Raw genomic sequence first — 20,597 nt, forward strand, 5'->3', positions numbered from 1 at the left:
AGAATGCCATTTTGGGGTCTGTGGGATTCTAACGGGACAAGGGCACTAGGAGTCAGATCTTTTAGAGGAAGAACCCTACTCAGAATCCCAGTTTTCCTACCTCATTTAACCTTGAGTAATTCAAGTTGCTTCTCTGATCATTAATTTCCTTGTCAGGAAAATGGGGATAATAAACCTGATAATTAAATGATGGAATATATAAAATGCTTAGTATATACTAAGGGCTTAATAAATGGAACTGACTTTTAGTAATTGATGATTCTGGGGTTTTACAAATAAGAACTGAAGATAAAAAAGGTGGCTTGCTTAAGGTCATCTGACTTAGTGGCAGAGCCAGGACTAAACACTGATTTGTCCCCCACAAATGCCAGTGTTCTTCTCCCCGGTGTCCACAAGGCAACTGATATTCACAGTGCTGATCTTGAGTTGTCAGGAAACACACAAATTCCCATTCGCTGACTCTCTGATTGTAGAAAGCATGTAATGTGCTTTAGAAATATTTCCATCCCAAACAGTTCTAAATGTTGTCACTTTTAATAGCAAACTTAAGCTATCTAAAAAATTTGCAGACACGGACCGGTTCCAGAGCCTTCAATGTCAAAATTCACAGTCATTATGGTCTTCTTCTACATCAGAACTTATTAGGAGCATTAACCTCAGTCTAGGAACCATGTCAGTTTTATAAACACTGTTCTTTCTATTATGGCAAGACAGGATACTTAAAGGACATTTTCCTTGATACCATTTCATTTTCTATTTACGTCATGAAAATAGTATTGAATTTGGGCAATACTACACACAAACTATTTTAGGGTTGCAGATTTTGAGTCTGTGCTGTAATAGTGTGGCCAGGTAGTGTAAATATTTGTTGGAGAAAGATTAACTAGCAAGGCAGTATATTCAGAATGGCTGCCTCTTTCATTAACCCTGTAAGGAAAGGAACTGGAAAGACACACGCAATTCTGTAAATCACAATTTATAAGCAAGCAGCAATTGAACTTCTAGTTGAGCTAGTTTTTTTTTTTCAGGCCAATTAAAGTTCATATTATTTTTTAAACAACTCCTATTCTGCCATAACTTTATTTTAAATCTGCATCTTAAACATGTAATGGCGAGAAATTTGCTATAATTTTCCACATGTATTTGGGTTAGAGATACATTATGCTCTATGCATTCATTACTTGCATGCCGTTCAAAAATCATAAACAGTGTTACTGGGAAAACTGATTGGGAAATTAATCCTTTGAAACAACAACATATGAATGCAATGATTACACAGAATAAATAAACAGCTTCCCCACAATTTCTCTTTTGGATAAATGTAAAGTCATTAGTTTCAGAACAGTTTTCCCAAGGACGTAAGGTTTTGCTTTTCCTCCGTAATGCCTCCTCAAAGCTGGTACATATCTTATGCTGAGCCATCCCTGAAAAGGTAGCCTTAATCAAAATCTAATCTATAAATCACCTTTAAAGCCTTGAATGTTTGGCTTTATGAGGTCTTACACACACTTTGCAGGTTCGCAAAGACCACAGATCAGATTATTACAATTCCTCTCAAGATGTGGCTTAATGAGGGTGAGGGAAGTATAGAAGACTTCAACTCCAGACCCTCGGAACTAGATCCCCTAGTTCACTGGATACATATTTTATGGAAAAGGGTAAGATTGTATCACAGTGTTAATCCAGAAACTCGAATCCTCTGATTAGAATCAGAGGAGAACTGAGAAGAACCTGCCGGCGGATGCACGAGTGGGTTAGAATGGAACTTCTCCCCACGAAGGCAGCACAGGCTTCGATGGAGCTTTTTTCCTGGGTCCCGAGCCACATCCTGACAGGCCACTGTGGCCCTATTGCACGCCTGGTGAGGCGGTGCATCAGCTTGGATTTTCTAACAGGTTCTTTTCCAGAACTTTTGCTGCGGGCACGGAGACTCTTACCAAATTCGGCTCCATAATACATTCCCCAAAACATTAGAACCCAGGATAGGTCTACGCCTCCACTGATACGGAAAAATATATGAAAGCGTGGATTAGGGTTTTTGCCACAGATGAGAACAAAATCCAACGGAGACTTGACATTTCTTTAGAAAGGCTGCCACCAGCAGAACTTTCCCCAGAAGTTACATCCGTGCTGACCTTCATCAGTTACATTGAGAAAAAATCTGTTCTATGTGACTGTCAGCCACAGGAGAGGGAATTTTAGGCACTGAACGTGACGAGAAGGACTTTCTAACTTTGATTCAGTTTCAACTCACACTCCCCAAACCCCTCAATGGCAGAGAGGCCGAGGATCCCCGAATGGGGAGGTGAGGCTCAGAACAGCGAGGGTGCCTGAGCACAGCACCACACTCTCCCGGTTTCTGAGCCCCGAGCCCCGCAGTGGAACTCGGGCCGCTGCGACGCGGCTCCCGTGCGGCTCCCACCGAGGCTGCTGTCCCCTGCCGCGCGGGTCCGGCCCTCCCCGCCGACCGAGGCGCGCCCCGGGCGCAGTGCCGCCGAGGAGGGGATCGGTCCCAGTGTCCACGCGGGTCTCCTCGCCGCCGCGGCAGGGCTCGGCCCGACTTCAGCGAGCAGATCCTCCGCCTGCGGCCGGTGACCCGCGCGACGCCCCGGCGGCACCGACAATGCTGTGCTCCAGCCCCGCAGGCGCCGCGGCAGCGGGTCCCGGGATGCTCCCGCGGTCCTTACCTGGCGAGGCCCGTCCCGTGCGCTCCCGGGGTCCTGGCTGGGCCGGCGCCGAGCCCAGGGCGACCGCGGATCGCCGGCTACGGCGTTTCCCGGTGACGGGGGCGCGGGCTCGCGGGGCGCGGGGGGCGCTGCCCAGGCCCGGCTCGGCAGGAGTCAGAGCCCCCAGCGGCGCGGGCGAGCCCGGGCCAGCAGCCGAGAGGGGGCTCTGAGCGGAGCCGCGGCCGTCCTGGCATTTTAAAGGCGAGGCAGCTGGACGCTGTTCAAGCGGAAACGCAGAGAGAAACTTCAGCCCCCGGGGCAGAGCGTTGGCAGCGAGGGGAGGGGGCCCAAGAGCTCCTTGCAGGCGCACAAACCAATCTGGGCTATTCCAATATGCTCTTCAAATGCATTTTCTTCAGATATTCTCTTTACAGTTAAAAAAAAAAATCCCCCCAAACAACAACGACAGCAAAACCCTCTCAAAGCCTTCTCCTGCAGTATGCTTCATAGCAAGCCAAACATTTCCATTAAAGTTAGGGGCAAGAGCAGGGGGCCGGTTTGGGACGTCTGGTCAATGCAATCAGACAAGAGAAGGAAATAAGGTGTAAAAATACTGAAGTTGTGCCTTTGTTAAAAAAATATATATTCTATATGTGTGTATATATGTATATATATTATATATATGTGAAGCGGGAGAAAAATGATTACTGTTTGCAGCGGATGTGATTGTGTAGTTGGAAAGTGCAAACTGAAGATTGTTGAAATAATAGCCTTTCCAAGGAATTGGCAGGCTACAAAATAAACATACCAAATTAACGGTGTTCTTGTGCACTTACTAACCATTTTGAAAGGCAAATAAAAAATCCCATTCTCACTAATAGCCAAGCCACAGTAGCTAGGAAAAATAAACTTATCATGAAATGTGAAAGAAAAAAAAAAAAAAACAACCTTCTCTACTAGGGGACTAGAGAAGACTTGAATCTATTATGACGCACGCCTTATTCTTGGGCAAGAAGAAGTAAACACTGTAATCCCATCATGTCCTCTTTATCTGTCAATTCAATGCCATCTCTATCAAATTCCAAGTAGAATTTTCTTTTTAACTTGACATGATTCTCAGTGTCATGTGGAAGAATAAAGAGACCAGGCAACAAAATGTTGATAAGGAAGAGCATAAGGGAAGCTAGCCCTGCTGGATATTAAAATGAAGAAATGCTTGCATGCATAAATGAATAAATGAATAAATAAAATACATTGTTTGAGTGCTTACTATTTAAGGAAGTGCTCTACGTGGATTAATGCATTTTATTCATCACAACAAGCTATGATGCAGGTACTGATACTGCTGCCATTTTCAGATAGGAAATGGAAGCCCAAAAGTGTAAGTATCACACTTACACTTTTGTGTAAGGTCACACAAGTAGGAGTAGGGGATCAGGGGTTTGATGCAGGCGTTCTGCCTGCAAAAACTATGCATCTATGTGCTTCAACCCCATCACACGACACCGCCTCTGTCACAAGGCAAAAACCAGCACATTACTGGTCCGGACATGACTGTTCAATGGAATGGGATGAAGAGCCCAGAATTAGAAGTACATGAGAAACTGTGGTGTTTAAGGTGGTACTTCATGTTAATCAGATAGATAGTTTTTATTTTATTTTATTTTATGTTTGAGACGGAGTTTTGCTCTTGTTGCCCAGGCTGGAGTGCAATGGCACGATCTCGGCTCTCTGCAACCCTCTGCCTCCTGTGTTCAAGCAATTCTCCTTCCTCAGCCTCCCAAGTAGTTGGGATTACAGGCATGCGCCACCACACCTGGGAAATTTTTGTTAGGTACAGGGTTTCACCATGTTGGCCAGGCTGGTCTCGAACTCCTGACTTCAGGTGATCTACCCACCTCTGCCTCCCAAAGTGCTGGGATTACAGGCGTGAGTCACCACGCCTGGCCCAGATAAATAGATGTTTAAATAAATGATATTGGAATAACTAGATAGTGAAAGTGTGGGGATCTCATTTTCTACCTAGTTCCCCAGACCAAAACAAATTCCAGATCCGTCATAAATTGAACATAAAAAACTGAAGTCAAAAAATAATTAGATGAATATATACATAAAAGTCATCATAAACCTAGAATTCTGAAAGCCTTTCTAAATATATCATAAAAGCATAAAGGAAAAGACTGATATATATGATTATAAAATATGCAAATAAATGTCTTCATGGAAAAAGACACCGTAAACGGAATTCAAAAATAAACAACAAACTGGAAAAATATTTGCTATCCATATGAGATGGGGTTACTAAGTTTAACAGAGATATAAACCTGGTTGAATTGGAATTTCAGATAGGCTATGAATAATTTTTTAGTATGATTATGTCCCATTCATCATTTGTCTGAAAGTCAAATTTAACTTGATGTCCTGCATTTTAATCTGAAAGCCCTAACATAACAGCAACATTTTAATGTAGATATCTTACAAAGAACGCTTATAATCATTTTTTTTAAAAAGATGATCACCACAATAGAACAAAGAATAAAAGAGATGAGCGGCCAGTTCACAAAAAAAGAAATATAAATGTCCCAAACAAGAGAAAATAACTGTCCTCTCTAGCAGTGAAATAAATGCAAATAAAAAATTTAGGAAGTTGTACTTTTTACCTACTAGCTGGCAAATTTTAAAATATTGAACAAATTCAGTGCTGCTGAAGGGTCTGGAAAAATGGGCATTCTCTCTCACTGTTTATGAGAATGTAATTTGGTACAATATTTCTAGAAAGCAGTTTGAGGACAAATATCAAATTGAATACTTTATGTACAAGCAAATTCATTTTCAAGAACTTATCTAAAGACATCATCTGACAAGTGGACAAAATATATATAGCAGATGTTTGTTGCTTTGCAGAAATAATTTATAATAGTAGAATATTGGAAACAACCCAAATATCTGTCAATAGGGGATTAGTTATTGAAATATAATTAAATCATAATACTATGCAATGAGACTTACTGTGATGTGTGATGCAGGCATTATTCTTTTTTATTCTTTGTTTTTGAGACAGGGTCTCTCTCTGTCATCCAGGCTGGAGTACAGTGGTGTGATCTCAGTTTACTGCGGCTTGGATCTCTTGGACTCAAGCGATCCTTCCACCTCAACTTCCCAAGTAGCTGGGACTACAGGTGCATGCCAGCACATCTGGCTAATTTTTGTTTTGTTTTGTTTTGTTTGTTTGTTTTTGGTAGAGACATGGTTTGCCATGTTGCCTGGGCTGGTCTCAAACTCTTAAGCTCAAGTGATCCTCCTGGCTTGGCCTCCCAAAGGGCTGGGATTACTGGCATGAGCCACAGTGCTGGGCCGATGCAGGCATTATTCTAAACACTGCCTGTGTAATAACTTGTTTAATCATCAGAACAAAACAAAACAGAAACACTGTAAGAAAGTACTATTAGCATCTCCATTCTGCAGAAGACAAAACACACAGAGAGGCAAGCAACTTTCTCAAGGTCTTATAGCTGGAAAATTGAGGACTAGGATTTAAAGCAAGGTGTTGTCGCTCCAGAGACCACACTCTCAGCTGTTATGCAATGTTGTGTACTGAATGGAATCCCATGATAGCATGCCAGAATAAATGCATCCATAGGGTAGAATACCAAATAGGTGTTAAAAATGACAATATGATTCTGTACTTACTGACATAGAAGATATTTATAACATATTGTTAAGTGAAAAAAGAAAATTTCAAAACCACATACTTATATGATTCCATTTGCATAATGTTGAATCTATTTATATGTGGTTATACATATAGACAGAGAGAAATATCTGGATGAATAATCACTAGCATATTAACAGCCTTCCTTTCTGAGTGATGGGATTTCAGGAGAGTTTTTACTTTCTTCATTGTACTTTTCTAAATGGCTTAGGTTTTGGTATTATGAATATACTTTTTTTTGTTTGTTTGTTTTTGTTTTTTGAGACAGAGACTCTCTCTGTCACCCAGGCTGGAGTGCAGTGCCGCAATCTTGGCTCACTGCAAGCTCCACCTCTCGGGTTCAGGCCATTCTCCTGCCTCAGTCTCCCGAGTAGCTGGGACTACAGGTGCCTGCAACCACACCCGGTTAATTTTTTGTATTTTTAGTAGAGACGGGGTTTCACCATGTTAGCCAGGATGGTCTCGATCTCCTGACCTGGTGATCCACCCGCCTCGGCCTCCCAAAGTGCTGGGATTACAGGCGTGAGCCACCGTGCCTGGCCATGTTTTTTAAATATTTAGAAAAACAGGAAAACAAAATCCTGGGGGGAATTCCCATTTTATGATTCCATGCCTTAGTGTCTTGATAGTCTAGGTTTTCTGCAAGCTTGTTATTTCTCCCTTCAAATTCTGACAGCTGAGATACCTGGCTAGGACTCAGCCTGAAGGATCATGGGAGTTCCCAGCAGCAGGTAAACCCCAAGTATCCCCCATGCACCTCCTGCTGCCTCTGGCTGAATGAAGATCGTGCACTGGGCTATGTCAAGTGAATCTTGCTGCTATCAAAAGGGGTGCTGAGAACATGGGCAGGTCCCACCCATTCTTCATGACTAGTGTCTCATCTGTAATGTTAGATATATAGGTTAGGGCTCTAATTGCAAAATACAGAAATTATTTAATACAACTTACACTGGTTTAAAAAATAAGGCATATTCTCTTGAAGGTTTAGAGAATCCAGAGAGAGTAAGACAACCAAGGCACAGTAAGAACCAAGATGCAATTTACTCTAAAGAACTGCTGTCATCATCACCTCTAAGGATTCTCTGTCTACTCCCTGTTTCTGCTTCTGTCTGGGCATCAGTTTCATCTGTTTAATTCTACACTGGTGTCCTCTCCTCCTCAATCCATGAAAATATGGCAGTCACCTGAGTTTTATGTAACGTCTTCAGTCACCCAAATAAATTAATTTTTTTGGTCCTTAGGTTTAAAATTTCCAGACCAGGGCTTCCTTAACCCAGCTTGGGAGAATATCTATTCCCTTGGGCATCAGTCAGGATAGGCTGGGTTATGCTGTAGTAACAAACAGTTCCTAAATCTCAGTACCTGACAACAACAGAGTTTACCTCTTGCATGTGCTTCATGTCCATTGTGGGTTGGCTGTGGCTTGGCTCCATGTTGGGAACTTTACTTGGGAAGAAGTAATTTACAACTGGAGGATTTTGGTCTCATGGCAGATAAAAAGAGAAGACACAGGAAACCATGGGCTAACTCTTAAAGCTGCTGCCAGAGTAATTCACATGGCCAAGTCTAATACCACTGGGATAGGGAAGTCTACAGCTCTGCCAGAGTAACAATACAGCCAACAATATAGCTTCATACACCAGTAAACTGTGGCCAAGGGGATGGGGTCCTAACAGAATCTGACATTGATCACCACAACCACTGGATGGGACAGACAAAGATGCCATGTTCTGATACAGCTCTGTGTAGAAAAAGGTGGCAGGAACATTGGGAAGACAATTGCATCAATCTTGACCAGAGTCATCATTCAGTTAACGGATTCTGTGAAACTGCAAAATAGGCTAAATCGTCCTTGGGGATAACTGGGATACACTGGAAAGAAAGCTGGACTTGGAGTCAGACAGGTCTGGGTTCAAGTTCTGGCTCTGCAACTCACTATGTGTATAATCAGGGCCAAGTCATGGTACAGATTGAGTGCCCCTCATCTAAAATGCTTGAGACCAGAAGTGTTTTGGATTTCAGATGTTTTCAGATTTTGGAATATTTGCATATACATAATGAGATAACTTGGAGATGAAACTCAAGTGTAAACATGAAATTCATTTATGTTTCATATACACCTTATACACAAAAGCTGAGGTAATGTTATATAAATTTTAAAACAATTTTATACATCTAACAAAGATTTGGCTGTGTTTTGACTGAGACCCATCACATGAGTGTGGAATTTTGGTGCTCAAAAGGTTTCAGATTTTGGATTTCAGATGTTTTTTGTTTTTTTGTTTTTTGGGGACAGAGTCTCGCTCTGCCATCCAGGCTGGAGTGCAGCGGTACAATGTCGGCTCACTGCAACCTCCGTCTTCCAGGTTCAAGCAATTCTCCTGCCTCAGTCTCCCCAGTAGTTGGAATTGCAGGCATGTGCCACTACACCCGGCTAATTTTTGTATTTTTGTAGAGGTGGGGTTTTGCCATGTTGGCCAGGCCAGTCTTGAACTCCTGATCCCAAGTGATCCACCTGCTTTGGCCTCCCAAAGTGCTGGGATTACAGGCATGAGCCACTGTGCCCGGCCAGACTTCAGATTTTTAGGTTAGGATGCTCAACCCATATTTAATGTCTTCTCAGTCATGAAACAGGGATAGCAATGTTTGCAGGATTGTTGTAGGGATCAAATGCAACTTTGAATATAAGCCATCTAGAAGAATGTCATAGGTGAGCTCAGCTCTTATTATTAACCTTTAAAAAGAGATAAAGTTTCCTACCTGTTTCTGTTTAGTGTCCACTGGGAGTAAACGAATGTAATCCCTCCAATTTATGTCTGAGTTATTAACTGTGGCACTTCCTTTGTCACTCCCAAAGTTCAAAACACAGGTCGCCTTCAACAGAATTAGTTAAGTCTCACTCACTTGCACCTGGTTTCTGTGGGTATTTGAGCTGCCGAGCCAGCTTATGTAGAAGCCTACTTTCTTTGTGGTAAGGACAAAAAGCCCTAGAATGGCACCAACTGTAGCTTCCAGACCAATCTACTTGCTCTGTCCTGCACAGAAGTGTTGCCTTTGTCATGAGCTTGTACCCAGAGATACCATCAAAAGCCCAGAGTCTTTATCTGTGGGATCCTGATACATTCATAGGTATTGGCACCTTCTACGCAGCAGGTGACTTGCATCTGTGACCACCATGTCACAAAGCAGGCATGTCCTTCTAACTTATTCATGCCGAATTCCTGCCAAAGGCTCAGGGGTTTATTTCAACAGTGAAATTCACAAGAAGCCAGTTGGTAAAAAATTTTCCCAAGCACTTGGCTGGGATGGATGATGACTGACTGCAGTAGGCTTTCTGTATGAGGAGATAGGTAGCCAGAGGATGGAGGGCATTAATGCCCTATGGCCAGCTTGTACTAGCTTGTAGAACACAGTTGTTCAGTTATCAGGAATTTTGCCGGGTGGTTTTTAAGCCATTGGTAGCTTGAAATCAGCCATAGTGGGAGTATTTACACTACAGAATTTGGTAAATGCTACAGATCAGAGTCCCCCACCCCTACCCCAAACCAGCTGTTAAACATTTCCCAGCATAGCCTTGGTGAATGGCCACTCTCTGGAGGGCTGCTGAGGGACTTCAGCTCTGGTACTGGGTGAGAAAGTTGTCCCAGGAGATCTATGACATTTCTTCCAGACCTGAGGCTCCTGACTGCCCTGCAGAAAGGGGACTTGTTGCCTGTGGCTGGCAGACTCATGATTCTGGCCAACCAGGGTCCTCTCTTGAGTCTCACAAGGGGAGGACATCCAGACAGACTAGTTTTGCCACGTGTAAGGAGGTTCGGGCAGCAAATTTCTTTCTGCCTCAAATCTACGTTTTGATGCTCTTTTTCTTACTCCCATTTACAACTACTAGTTAATTAAATTGGCTCTATAAAATACATTCTGAAAGCCACCATTCTTCCAAACAGCAGCCAGAGTTACTCCTTTAAAATCGAAGTCAGAAAATATCACTTCTTTGCACAGAAAATAAACAAACAAACAAACAGCAGTTTTTACTTTCACTCAGGTTGAAATTCAGTCTTTCAATATGACATATACCCTGGAAAAGATCACTCCCATTCTTCTCTGACCTCCTCTGGCTCCCTTGTTCATGCTTCCTCAGCCAGGACAGCCAATGAGTGATTCTCCTGGCACACCTGGTTCATTCCGATCCTGGCTTTTACACATTCTGCTGCTTCTGTTCACACTGTTCTTTCTCCAGAGATCTGCAAGGACTGCCTTCTTCCTTCTTCTTGGGCTCCCCTATCAAGTAACTTCCATGATTGTTTTGTACAAAACAATAACTCTCCCCTTTTCACTCTGTCTCACTGGCTTTGCTTTATCTGTTTATAGCATTTAGAGCCTCTCTCCTCCCCTGCCATGTGAGGTGCTTAATTGTGGAATCATTAGTGGTCTGTTTCTACCTGCCAGATTGCATAATCATGAGGGCATGGACTTTGTTTTCCTGGATTCTGTGTCATGGGTAGTTGGCCCCAGTTGGGGGCATGGATGCTCAGATGGGGTGCCTGGCACAGCTGTCTCCTAAGGATGGATGGGCCCCTGCCTTGGCATGCTGGGTGGTGGGTGCTGGCTCCTAGGAGAGGGTCTCCCCATGAAAGCTCAGCCTTGGGCTCCTGCCCTGGTTGGCCAGTTCCTAACCTAATCCCAGCCTGAGAGCCTCATAGACCCAGGGAAAAGAGACCTAAGACCCTCAGAAAAGATCTCAGAGGCTACTTCAGGAGGCGGCTTGGAAAGGGCACACTGGACAGAGTTCCTTTGGAAGTGACTTTGAGGCAGCCCTTTGCTCTCTCTCTCTCTCTCTCTCTCTCGCCTCCTTTTCTCCACTGGACCAGGGCATGGGGAGCCCTGAGCTTTCTGCCCGCTTTGACATTTCCTATTCCATCCCTAGATGGGCCGAGGAGGCAGCTTTTGAGGGAAAGCTTTGGAAAATTCCCAGCTGTTGACTGTTGTTTACATCTCAGTTGCTGTTTATGCTTCTCCTCTGGGCTCCCTGCCTCTGCAGATGACACAGCATGGCCACTGTGGGGTCAGCTCCTCCTCCCACCCTTTGCCCTGCACTTCAGGGCCACAGCCTGCAGGCTGATTCATGCCCTTAAGAGGCTAGAAAGGTGGCAGGGAAGCAAGCATTGGTCCCTCCTCTTTGCATTTTGGGGAGGGCTGATGGATGACCCCATCCTAAATGAAGATACTCAAGGGAAGAAGATGTTTCCTGCCAGCTGGACCAGCCTCAGGGTGTGCAAAGCCCTTTCTCATACATCGTCTGCATTTCCAACCACTGCTTTATAGGCAGGGCAGGGCAGGCAGTGCTTAGGGCTTATGCTTGTTTTGCAGATGAGGAAACTGAGGACAAAGACCAGTTGAGTAGCTGGTCCAAAGTCTTAAGACTTCAGCACCAAATTCTGGAACTAGCACCCAAGTCTCTGGAGTCCTTGCCTGGTGCAGTTTCTGCCATATCCAACTGCCTCACATGGCACATTGTCAAATTGAACACCTGATATTGGAGTTGTTACTGTGTGGCTGAGTAGCATCATACCCCCTGCTCTAATGCCTGATATTGTTTGGATGTGTGTCGCCTCCAAATCTCATGTTGAAATGTGATCCCCAGTGTTGGAGGTGGCCTCCTTCAGGAACAGCTTTGCACCCCACGAATAGCTTGGCATCCTCCCCACCGCAATGAGTTCACTTGAGATCTGGTTGTTTAAGAGAATCTGGCACCTCCCTTCTCTCTCTTGATTCCTCTCTCACCATCTGACACACTAGGTTCCCCCTTTGCCTTCTGCCATGATTGAAAGCTACTTGAGGCCTCACCAGAAGCAAATGCTAGCACCATACTTCCTGTACAGTCTGCAGAACAGTGAGCCAAAATAAACCTCTTTTTTTGTAATTATCCAGCTTCAGGTATTTCTTTATAGCAATGCAAAAACGGACTGACATAATGCCTCCCTAGGTTCTGCCATTCCAAGGGCTTAGGACATTTGGCTGGAAAAGAAAACTCAAGGTTTTCTCTGCTCTGGGTCCCTGAGGGCTTGTGGTGCAGAGAAGGGGGCTAGATCCAGCAAGAGGAGGTACCGGGAGGCGGGTTTCAGCTCAGCTCAGGAATGCTCTCCCTCATACCTGCAGTCACCTGCAGTCACCTGAAAAGGGATGTGCTGCTCTTCTATGCCCTGTTTCCACATGGGTGTGCCCTAAGGAAAAACACAAAGTATGAGGGAAAAGACATGACTGAAAAAATGCCCGTTTAGCTTATAAACATGTGCACTGCCCTCTGTCACCTTCTAAAGAGGAAGGACTCTTAGCTGGTCTGCATCTTGGGTTTGCATCTAGGATCACATCATGCTGAATGGAGCATGGAGAAGAGAGCTGGAGAGCCAAGATAGGGACAAGTAGTTCTGTTTAAGGAAAGAGACAGTCAGCAGAAACTCTCTGGAAGAGGAATGGGAAGCAGAGGAGAAGCCTGTTCCAGGGCAGGTGGCCCTGAGGGAGGTTTGGGAGCTGAGGCTGGAGCACGGCAAGAAGGGGGACTTTGGAGGGAGGCAGTGGGGGAGAGGGAGGCAGGGAGGGAGCAAAGGGGCAGAGGGAGGAAGCTAGGTGGGAGAGAGGGAATTTTAAGTAGCTGTGTGTGTGTGACATTTTGTAAGACAGAAAGACACAATTTTGTCAAGAGAGAAAGACACAATTAAAACACACTTTAGGAAGTCCTGCTGAGTGGTACACAATGTCACCGTCTCTTGTCTACCCTCACAACCTTCAGTAAAGAGCCACATTACCTTGAGTGCTTTGGGAGCCTGTTCTGGGGAGGGTCTTACTGTGCCAGTGAGTTGGGGTCGTGGAGGTGCCAGGAAGGACAAGGGGTCTGGGAGGCATGAAGCCCTAGATGGGCTTCTGAAAGCAATGATGACCCACCATAGAGAAAACCTGGCTACCATCATGGGTTCAAATTCTGTCTCCCCTACCTATTGTTTAAGAAGGTTTGGGCTCTTTATTCACCAACTCTGAGTCCCGCATTCCTCGCTTTTAAATGGGGATATGATGGGGTCTGATTTTAGGGATGCTGTGAGGATTAAGCCAGGTGACACATGAAAAGCTTCAGTGCTGAGCCTGGTGTTCAGTGAGAGCCCAGTGCCAACAGTGAGGGAGCTATTAAATCATGGAAGGTGGACCCACAAATGCAAAGAGTTGACTGTCATTAGAGAATGCTAATGGAGATCATAGAGCAATGTGGAAAAATGTTTGGCTTATAATATTGGGTAACACATAAAAAAGCACTAAATCATGTAAAATTATTTACACAGGTGGATAGAGCATGGAAAAGAAACAATGAAAAACAAAAGCAGTTGATTTGTTAGAGTGATGGAATTGCGGAGGGCTTCCTTTCCATTTTTATTCCTTGTATTGTTATAATATTTTTGTACAGTAAATATGCAGGAAGAAACGAGTGGTCTCAGAAGGGGAGGAGGACTCATCCATAGCAGGGACTGTGGCAGAATCTTCTAGTGCTCAGCCACAGCCAGCTCTTCCTTTTTTTTGGGGACCATCACTTTTGACTATTTCTGATTAATAGATTGTGAAAGGAAATGAGTGTGTCCCTTCTAGGCTGCAGCATTTAATTGCCAGTCCAAAGGCTCCTCATCTCCTCCTTTCCCTGCCAGGTGACCCAGAAGGCCATGGATTCCAGACGGTGCAGCCATGCTGTGGTAGAACCTCCATCAGCCTCCATCAGGGTCCTTGAAAGACATGTGGAGAAGAGCCCCCTGCTGACCCCCTACTGGTCATGTAAGACTTGAGCAAGAAGTGGATTTTGTAGCATTCAGCCACCGACATGTGTTGGTTAAATTATGCACAGTATAACAGCCCATCCCATGTCCAAACCTCTGCTTGCTGCAGCAATGTGTGCTGAGTTTTCCTTAGATTGATGCGGACAGGCAGACGCCTGAGTCTCTTGTGTCTTAATAGCTCAGTTATGCTTGACTGAAAAGCCTGGTCCTTGCTTCTCCCTGGTATAGCTTCTCAATGCTGCTCACAGAATTTTTTGAAATCTGGTTTCTAGCTTCGGCTCAAGGTCTAAAGAAACCCCCACACCCCATGCACAGGATTTAGCTGAAATGGTGCAAAAGAGCAAAGGAGTGACTCAAACTACAACTAAGCAGGAGAGCCCACTGTGGCATCCAAGCCTTGCTCTGAGGCTCAGACATCACAGTGGGATTCTGAGGAAGTCAGAGTCTACCTGGGATCTGAGAATTCGGAGTTATGGTGTGAATATTTGCTGTTAGCTCTGATGTGGGTCCAGTTACTTCCTGCTGCCCACAGTGCAGCTTTCCCCTTAGCCTTGTCATCTGAGTACCTTGTCCTTGGTACCCTTCAACTCTCACTGGTTTATCTGAGCCAGGGGCACACTCTCCTTCCTAGAATTGAGATGACCTTGGTTAAAGAGAGATGTTAAGAATCAGTTAGCCCTAACCAGGCTTTCTCTCAAGTCAGTTCTACCAGGAGAGAATGAGGAGGCTGCTGTCCAAAGTTTTGGGTGCTGAAACCAAATATGCCTAGATCTTGGAAACCAAATATTTCTGAATCTCTCATCTTATAAATCTGAGATTCTTCTTCTTCTTCTTCTTTTAGATGGAGTCTCACTCTGTTGACTAGTCTAGAGTGGAGTGAAGTAGCTCAATCTCTGCTCACTGCAACCTCCACCTCCCAGGTTCAAGTGATTCTTGTGCCTCAGTTTCCAGAGCAGCTGGGATTATATGCACACACCAGCATGCCTGGCTAATTTTTGTATTTTTGTAGAGACAGGGTTTCACCATGTTGGCCAGGCTGGTCTCAAACTCCTAATCTCAGGTAATCTGCCCACCTTGATTTCCCAAAGTGCTGGGATTACAGTTGTGAGCCACTGTGCCTGGCTGAGATTCTTTTTAAAGTATAATTTACTTCAAGTTATTTAAGTTATTATTTTACTTCACATCCAGAGGGATAAGGAAGGAAACAAATAGCATGTTTCTAAGAACCCTAGAATCATTATTGTATTATGTCCAAAGGGCATCCCATGGTTTAGAATGAATAAAAACAAACTAAATTTATAAAAATTGCTTACAATGGCTTATTTATTTTTTAACAATGAATTTTGCCAAAGAGCTATATTTTTGAAGAACTCAGTGAATCTGATGACTAGTGCAACATTATAAACTGAGTTAAATGAAATGTTATGACATTTATTCAGCAAGTCATGAGACTTTCATATCAGATAAAGAAACCAAGACACAGAGGAGTAAGTGACATCACCAGGTTACAGCAGTAACAGATGTGGAACCTTACCCAAGATCCAGGCTCTCCAGCAGGGGGGTGGCATTGAAGGGGTAGCCCTGACTGGACTGGAAGCTCCTTGAGGGCAGGGGCCCTGTCCTATCTATTGCTGGAGCAGCGGCCATGACAGTGCCTGACACATAGAGGTATATGCTGACTGAGATAATGAGTGAATGAAGGAGGACGTGGTCCCTTCCAGGTTCAGTGACTCAGTTAAGCCAGTGACTCAGTGCCTCTGGTGGGGGCAGAGATGAGAGTGAAGGGAAGTCTGTGTTGTCTGTTGAATCCACTCCAGGCTGCATTGTCACTGATGCTAGTGGCCATCTGCCCATCCTCCTACTGACTCCATGTACCAGGCAGCATTGGTCCCTTCACGGCACTGATTAGGAGCAAGCCTGCTGTTTGTAAGGTAGGTTTGCTTCCACCTTTAGAGGCTTGAGAGAAGGAAGTTTGCATTCTCCTTCTGTATAATATGAGCTGTGTTACATGGGATGGAGGCAATCATTCTTCCTTCCCAAATGCTATAGGAGTAGGAGCTACTGAGCCAAAGTAAATGAATGCAAGGCTCTCATTCTGAGGTACTTCCCTCGAAGTGTCTGTCCTTTTCTGTGTGATTGCTCCTCAGTAAGTCCTGGATTCAAGCTTAGCCCTCCTGAATGGGATCTAGACAGAAGATGTAAGCAGATACTTAAAATATGTTTTTATCGAGGTAAAATATACGTAACATAAAATCGCCATTTTAAGTATTTTAAAGTATACATCCCAGTGGCTTTTAGTAAATTTGCAATGATGTGCAACTATTGCCATTATCTAATTCAGAATATTTTCATCACCCCTCAACAAAACCCCATAACCATTAAACAATCACACCCTATTCCTTCCTCCCTAAGCCCTAGCCTCTGGAAACCACAACTCTGCATTTTGCCTCTATGCATTTGCCTGTTCTGGACATTTCATATAAATAGAATCATACAATATGTGGCCTTTTGTGCCTGGCTTCTTTCACTTAGTATAACGTTTTCAAGATTGATGCATATTATAGCAGGTATCATTCCTTTTTATGGATGAATAATATTTTATTGTATGGATATGTCATATTTTGTTTATCCATGCATCACTTGGTGGACATTTGGGTTGTTTCCCCTTTTTGACTATTATGAACAAAGCTGCTGTAAACATTCGTGTACTGGTTTTTGTGTGGACACCTCTTCTCCATTCTCTTGAATCTATACCTATGCGTGGAGTTTCTGAGTCATATGGTAACTGTATGTTTAATTTTTGAGGAACAGAAACAGGTTCTTAGGGAGTATAAAGGCCCTTCTGGCTGGTGGAGCCTCAGGGGCTATTTAGAGCCTTCCAGTGAAAGGAACTTAATCTCCATCCGACCCCTCTCATTCATTCCTGCTTCAATATCTTTGTTAAGGCCCCTTCCCAGATGTCAGATGTCAGTTGCCATGACTGCTTTCTGTACCAGGCTCTCCCAGGGCCACTCCCACAGTGATCTTCCTATAGACTGACCATAAAAGTCTCTGAGAACTCAAAGTGTGTGTCCTGAGACCTTAGCATCAGCTTCAACATCACCTGGGAATTTTCAATTTTGTCTGCAATGCCATTTCATGAGCTGCACCCCAGATCTGCTGAATCAGAATCTCTGGGAAGGTTGGGCTTGGGCCATCTTTGTTCTAACACAACCTCAGAGGATTTGCATGCACCATGAAGTTTGAGAAGCTTGGCTCTGAGGAGTCTGTGCTCTTTGGGATCTGTGCCACTTGAGGCAGAGAAAGCTCAGATCACTGGGATCTCATTTCCCACTTCAGCCCAGAATAGGTGACCACATTAGTGTGCATGTTTGTGTGTGTGTGCGTGCAGGGCATGGGGGGATTCTGTTGAGAGGTGGTGCTGAGATGCACCTGCTCCCAGGAGAGATGACGCGGGTTGCTGACACCACAGGAGCTCTGATGCTGCAGAGCCCTAGTCTACTGCGGACTCTCCTTCCTGCTGGAGTCTGCAGTTGCTCCTACTTCTCTGGGACCTCAGTCCCATCATAACTCTGTCTCTTGGGGTTTCTCTTGGAGTGGGAGATCCCTTGGCTTCCCTCCTGCATCACCTCCAGAGACAAACATGCTGGCTGTTTGCTTTAAGGAGCTTCCTTTGATCCTCTGGGTAAGCAGAAGGCAGTGACAAATGGCAGGGGGCAAGTGGAGTGGTGGTTTCCAGAGCTCATGGAGTCCTTGTAGTCCAAGCCCTGGGACTGTGGTTCCTGACTGTCCTCCTTGTGTGTGGGTCAGGACGGGTGCCTCTGCCTGCCTGAAGCCCCGTGCTACACTGAAAAGCCCTGACAGACCCCACTCTGAGAAGGACCCTTTTCCTATTTGCTCCTCATCCATCCTCCTGATTGTCACATTGCAGCTCCAGGCACTGCTGGCATCTCCCCAGATCGTCTAACTCCAGGCTCTAGACCTCAGCTTTTTCTACCTGATGGGACGCACTTCTAATCCAAACAAGCTGTGTCCCATGAAGGAAAGACCAGAGAGAAGAGAGGAAAAACTGGGAGATGAGATTTATAAAAAGCTTTGAACCTGAGACAGAAAGGGAGAGGAACTGAAATGAAATCTCAAGCCACTCAATCTCTGTTTGTGATCCATCCCTGTCTTCTCCCCTAAGGTTAATGAATGCCATTGAAAAGGGTTAACCAGGCAGTGGGAGGGTGAGTGTCATAGGTGTTCTTTACTGTGAGTCCCACAACCACTGCTGATGTCCTCAGGATGACCTGCCCCAGGAGCCGGGCTTTCCAGACTGCAGGATAACACCCTGCCATCTCCAGCCAGGGAAGAGGGCAGGAACCCTATTTGTGTGTATCTGCTATTTCCTGTCACCACGCCCAGTAATGCTTTATTCCCCGCAAGCCTACAAAGGGATGATAAAGACTTTCCTCACTCTCATTTTATCTTTTTCTTCCCTAGCCACACACATATGTATCTGTTCCCCAGCCCCCATTCAATGAGTATCTACTGAGTTCCCATTGCACATTTGGCAAATAAAGAAGGCACTGTCTCTGCTCTCATGGAACTTCCAACCCACTGGGTTAGAGTGATATTCAAGAAACATTTACACACTATCTGGTTACAATTGCATTAAGTGGGTGATGGAGAAGAACGGGGTGCTGGGGGAGGATATGTTAGGAGATCCGACCAAATCTGGGCATTCGTGGACGTCTCCTGGAGGAAGCAACATTCATACTGAGACTTGCAGCGTGAGCAGGAGCCAGGACAGCAATGGGGAAAGGGCAGATGCACAAAGGACTGTGTGCAAAGGGCAGATGCACATAGGAGTGTGTGCAAAGACCCCGAAGTAATGACGAGTTTGGGGTAAAGGAAGAACTGAAGGAGGTCTAAGCTGGGGTGGGTGTGGCAGGAAACAAAGTCAGAGTGGTGAGCAGGAGTCAAATGCCAATCACCATGGAGACCTTGACCCTATTCTAAGAATAATGGGTGGCCCGAGACCATTTCTAAGGAAGAAGCAACATCTTAAACTAGCATAGAGAGAATGTACTAGTTAGCATGATGGATGCAGAGGTCAACGCAGAGGCAGAAGATGGGCCTGGACTTGGATGGTGATGGGGACAGATGACACAGACGGAGGGATGTGTGGGAGTGAAGCCAACTTACCAATGACTACTTGTAGGGGTCTCAGGACAGGGGCCTCTCAGGGACAGTGCTCAGGTTTGTAGCTTGAGCAATTGGGCAAGGGTGAGGCAAGGACAAGAGGGACTCATTTGCTGACTCAGGAGCAGGCTTGAGGGGCATTGCACCATGAATTCAGACTTAATATGTCAAGCTTGAGATGTCTGTGAGATGTTCAGGTGGAGATTTTATGGATATGGTTAGATGCACAGAGCTAGAGCTCAGGAGAGAGAGAAAACTAGAGGATGCTGTGGGTAGCTGAAGTCATGCACCAGGCTGGGATTGCAGGGAAGGGAGCAGAGCCTACAAGGAGGGGTGGCCGAAGGGCTAATGGGTAGACAGGGAAGAACTGGCTAAGAAGATGGGCTGGGAGTGGCATTGAGGAGTCAGGGGAACCTTGAGAGAAAAGCATTGCCCAGAACAACGGAGCCTCCTGCAAGAAGGAAGGTGTGGCGAATGCAATAGAAACCTGAGCAAATCTAGTATCAAGGGGACCGGAAAGCAGCCCGGAATTTAGCAACATTAAGGTCAAGGATGACCTTCACAAGAACAGGTACCTGCCATGGAGTGATTGGAGGGAATCAGATAAAGGCAGGTTTGTGGATGATGTAGCAGGATGCTAAGGGGTGTCCTGTCTGGTGGCTTCTATCTTCTCTGTGAAGAATGAGGCAAGTTTATCCTCTAAGAGTGAGGGAGGCAGAGGAGAGGTCAGAGATTCAAAAGGGTGACAAAGGTTTCAAATATGTATTAGCAAGAGGTGTTTGTCAGAGGTTAGTGTTTTTGGCAACAAGGTTTGGGGATAATGAACAGATTCCCCATCAATGGCCCTCAGCCACCATACACTAGGCATACCCAAACCAAACAGACCCCTTTCTCTTTTCACCCACCCTTCCCAGTTTCTTATCTCTATCCTTGGCACCACAACCCAAACCAGGTTTCTAAGGCATACACTGCAGAGTGAGCCTAGATTCACACCTCCCTAACATCCTGATTGCCATCAGACCCCAAGGGCAGTTGACATGAATATCACCACCCACCATCCCAGCTCTCCCTCTGCTGTATCCCATACCACTGCTGTATCCACCCACTTCCTTCTCCACTACGTCAGGATGCTGAAAAAAAAATCACAGGGAAGTACAGAGCTTTTTGTAACAGATACCCATGTACCTGCCACTTATTTAATGACTACTAACATTTCGTCTT

General features: G+C 45.0%; 1 protein-coding gene and 1 long non-coding RNA gene across 2 annotated transcripts in view; both read right to left on the minus strand.

Moving 5' to 3' along the window:
- CTXND1 (cortexin domain containing 1) overlaps positions 1–2,894 on the minus strand; it is a 56,733-nt gene extending 53,839 nt beyond the window's left edge. Inside the window, exon 1 of the mRNA NM_001352888.2 lies at positions 2,688–2,894. The gene's annotated coding sequence lies outside the window, so the exon portion shown is untranslated. The remainder of the gene's footprint in view (positions 1–2,687) is intronic.
- Positions 2,895–13,748: 10,854 nt separating this feature from the next.
- The window catches only part of LINC00927 (long intergenic non-protein coding RNA 927), a 78,738-nt gene continuing 71,889 nt past the window's right edge, over positions 13,749–20,597 (minus strand). The window contains exon 3 of the long non-coding RNA NR_033833.1: positions 13,749–16,374. This is a non-coding gene — a long non-coding RNA (long intergenic non-protein coding RNA 927). The remainder of the gene's footprint in view (positions 16,375–20,597) is intronic.

This window comes from Homo sapiens, chromosome 15 (assembly GCF_000001405.40).
Source record: "Homo sapiens chromosome 15, GRCh38.p14 Primary Assembly".
Lineage (NCBI taxonomy): Eukaryota > Metazoa > Chordata > Mammalia > Primates > Hominidae > Homo > Homo sapiens.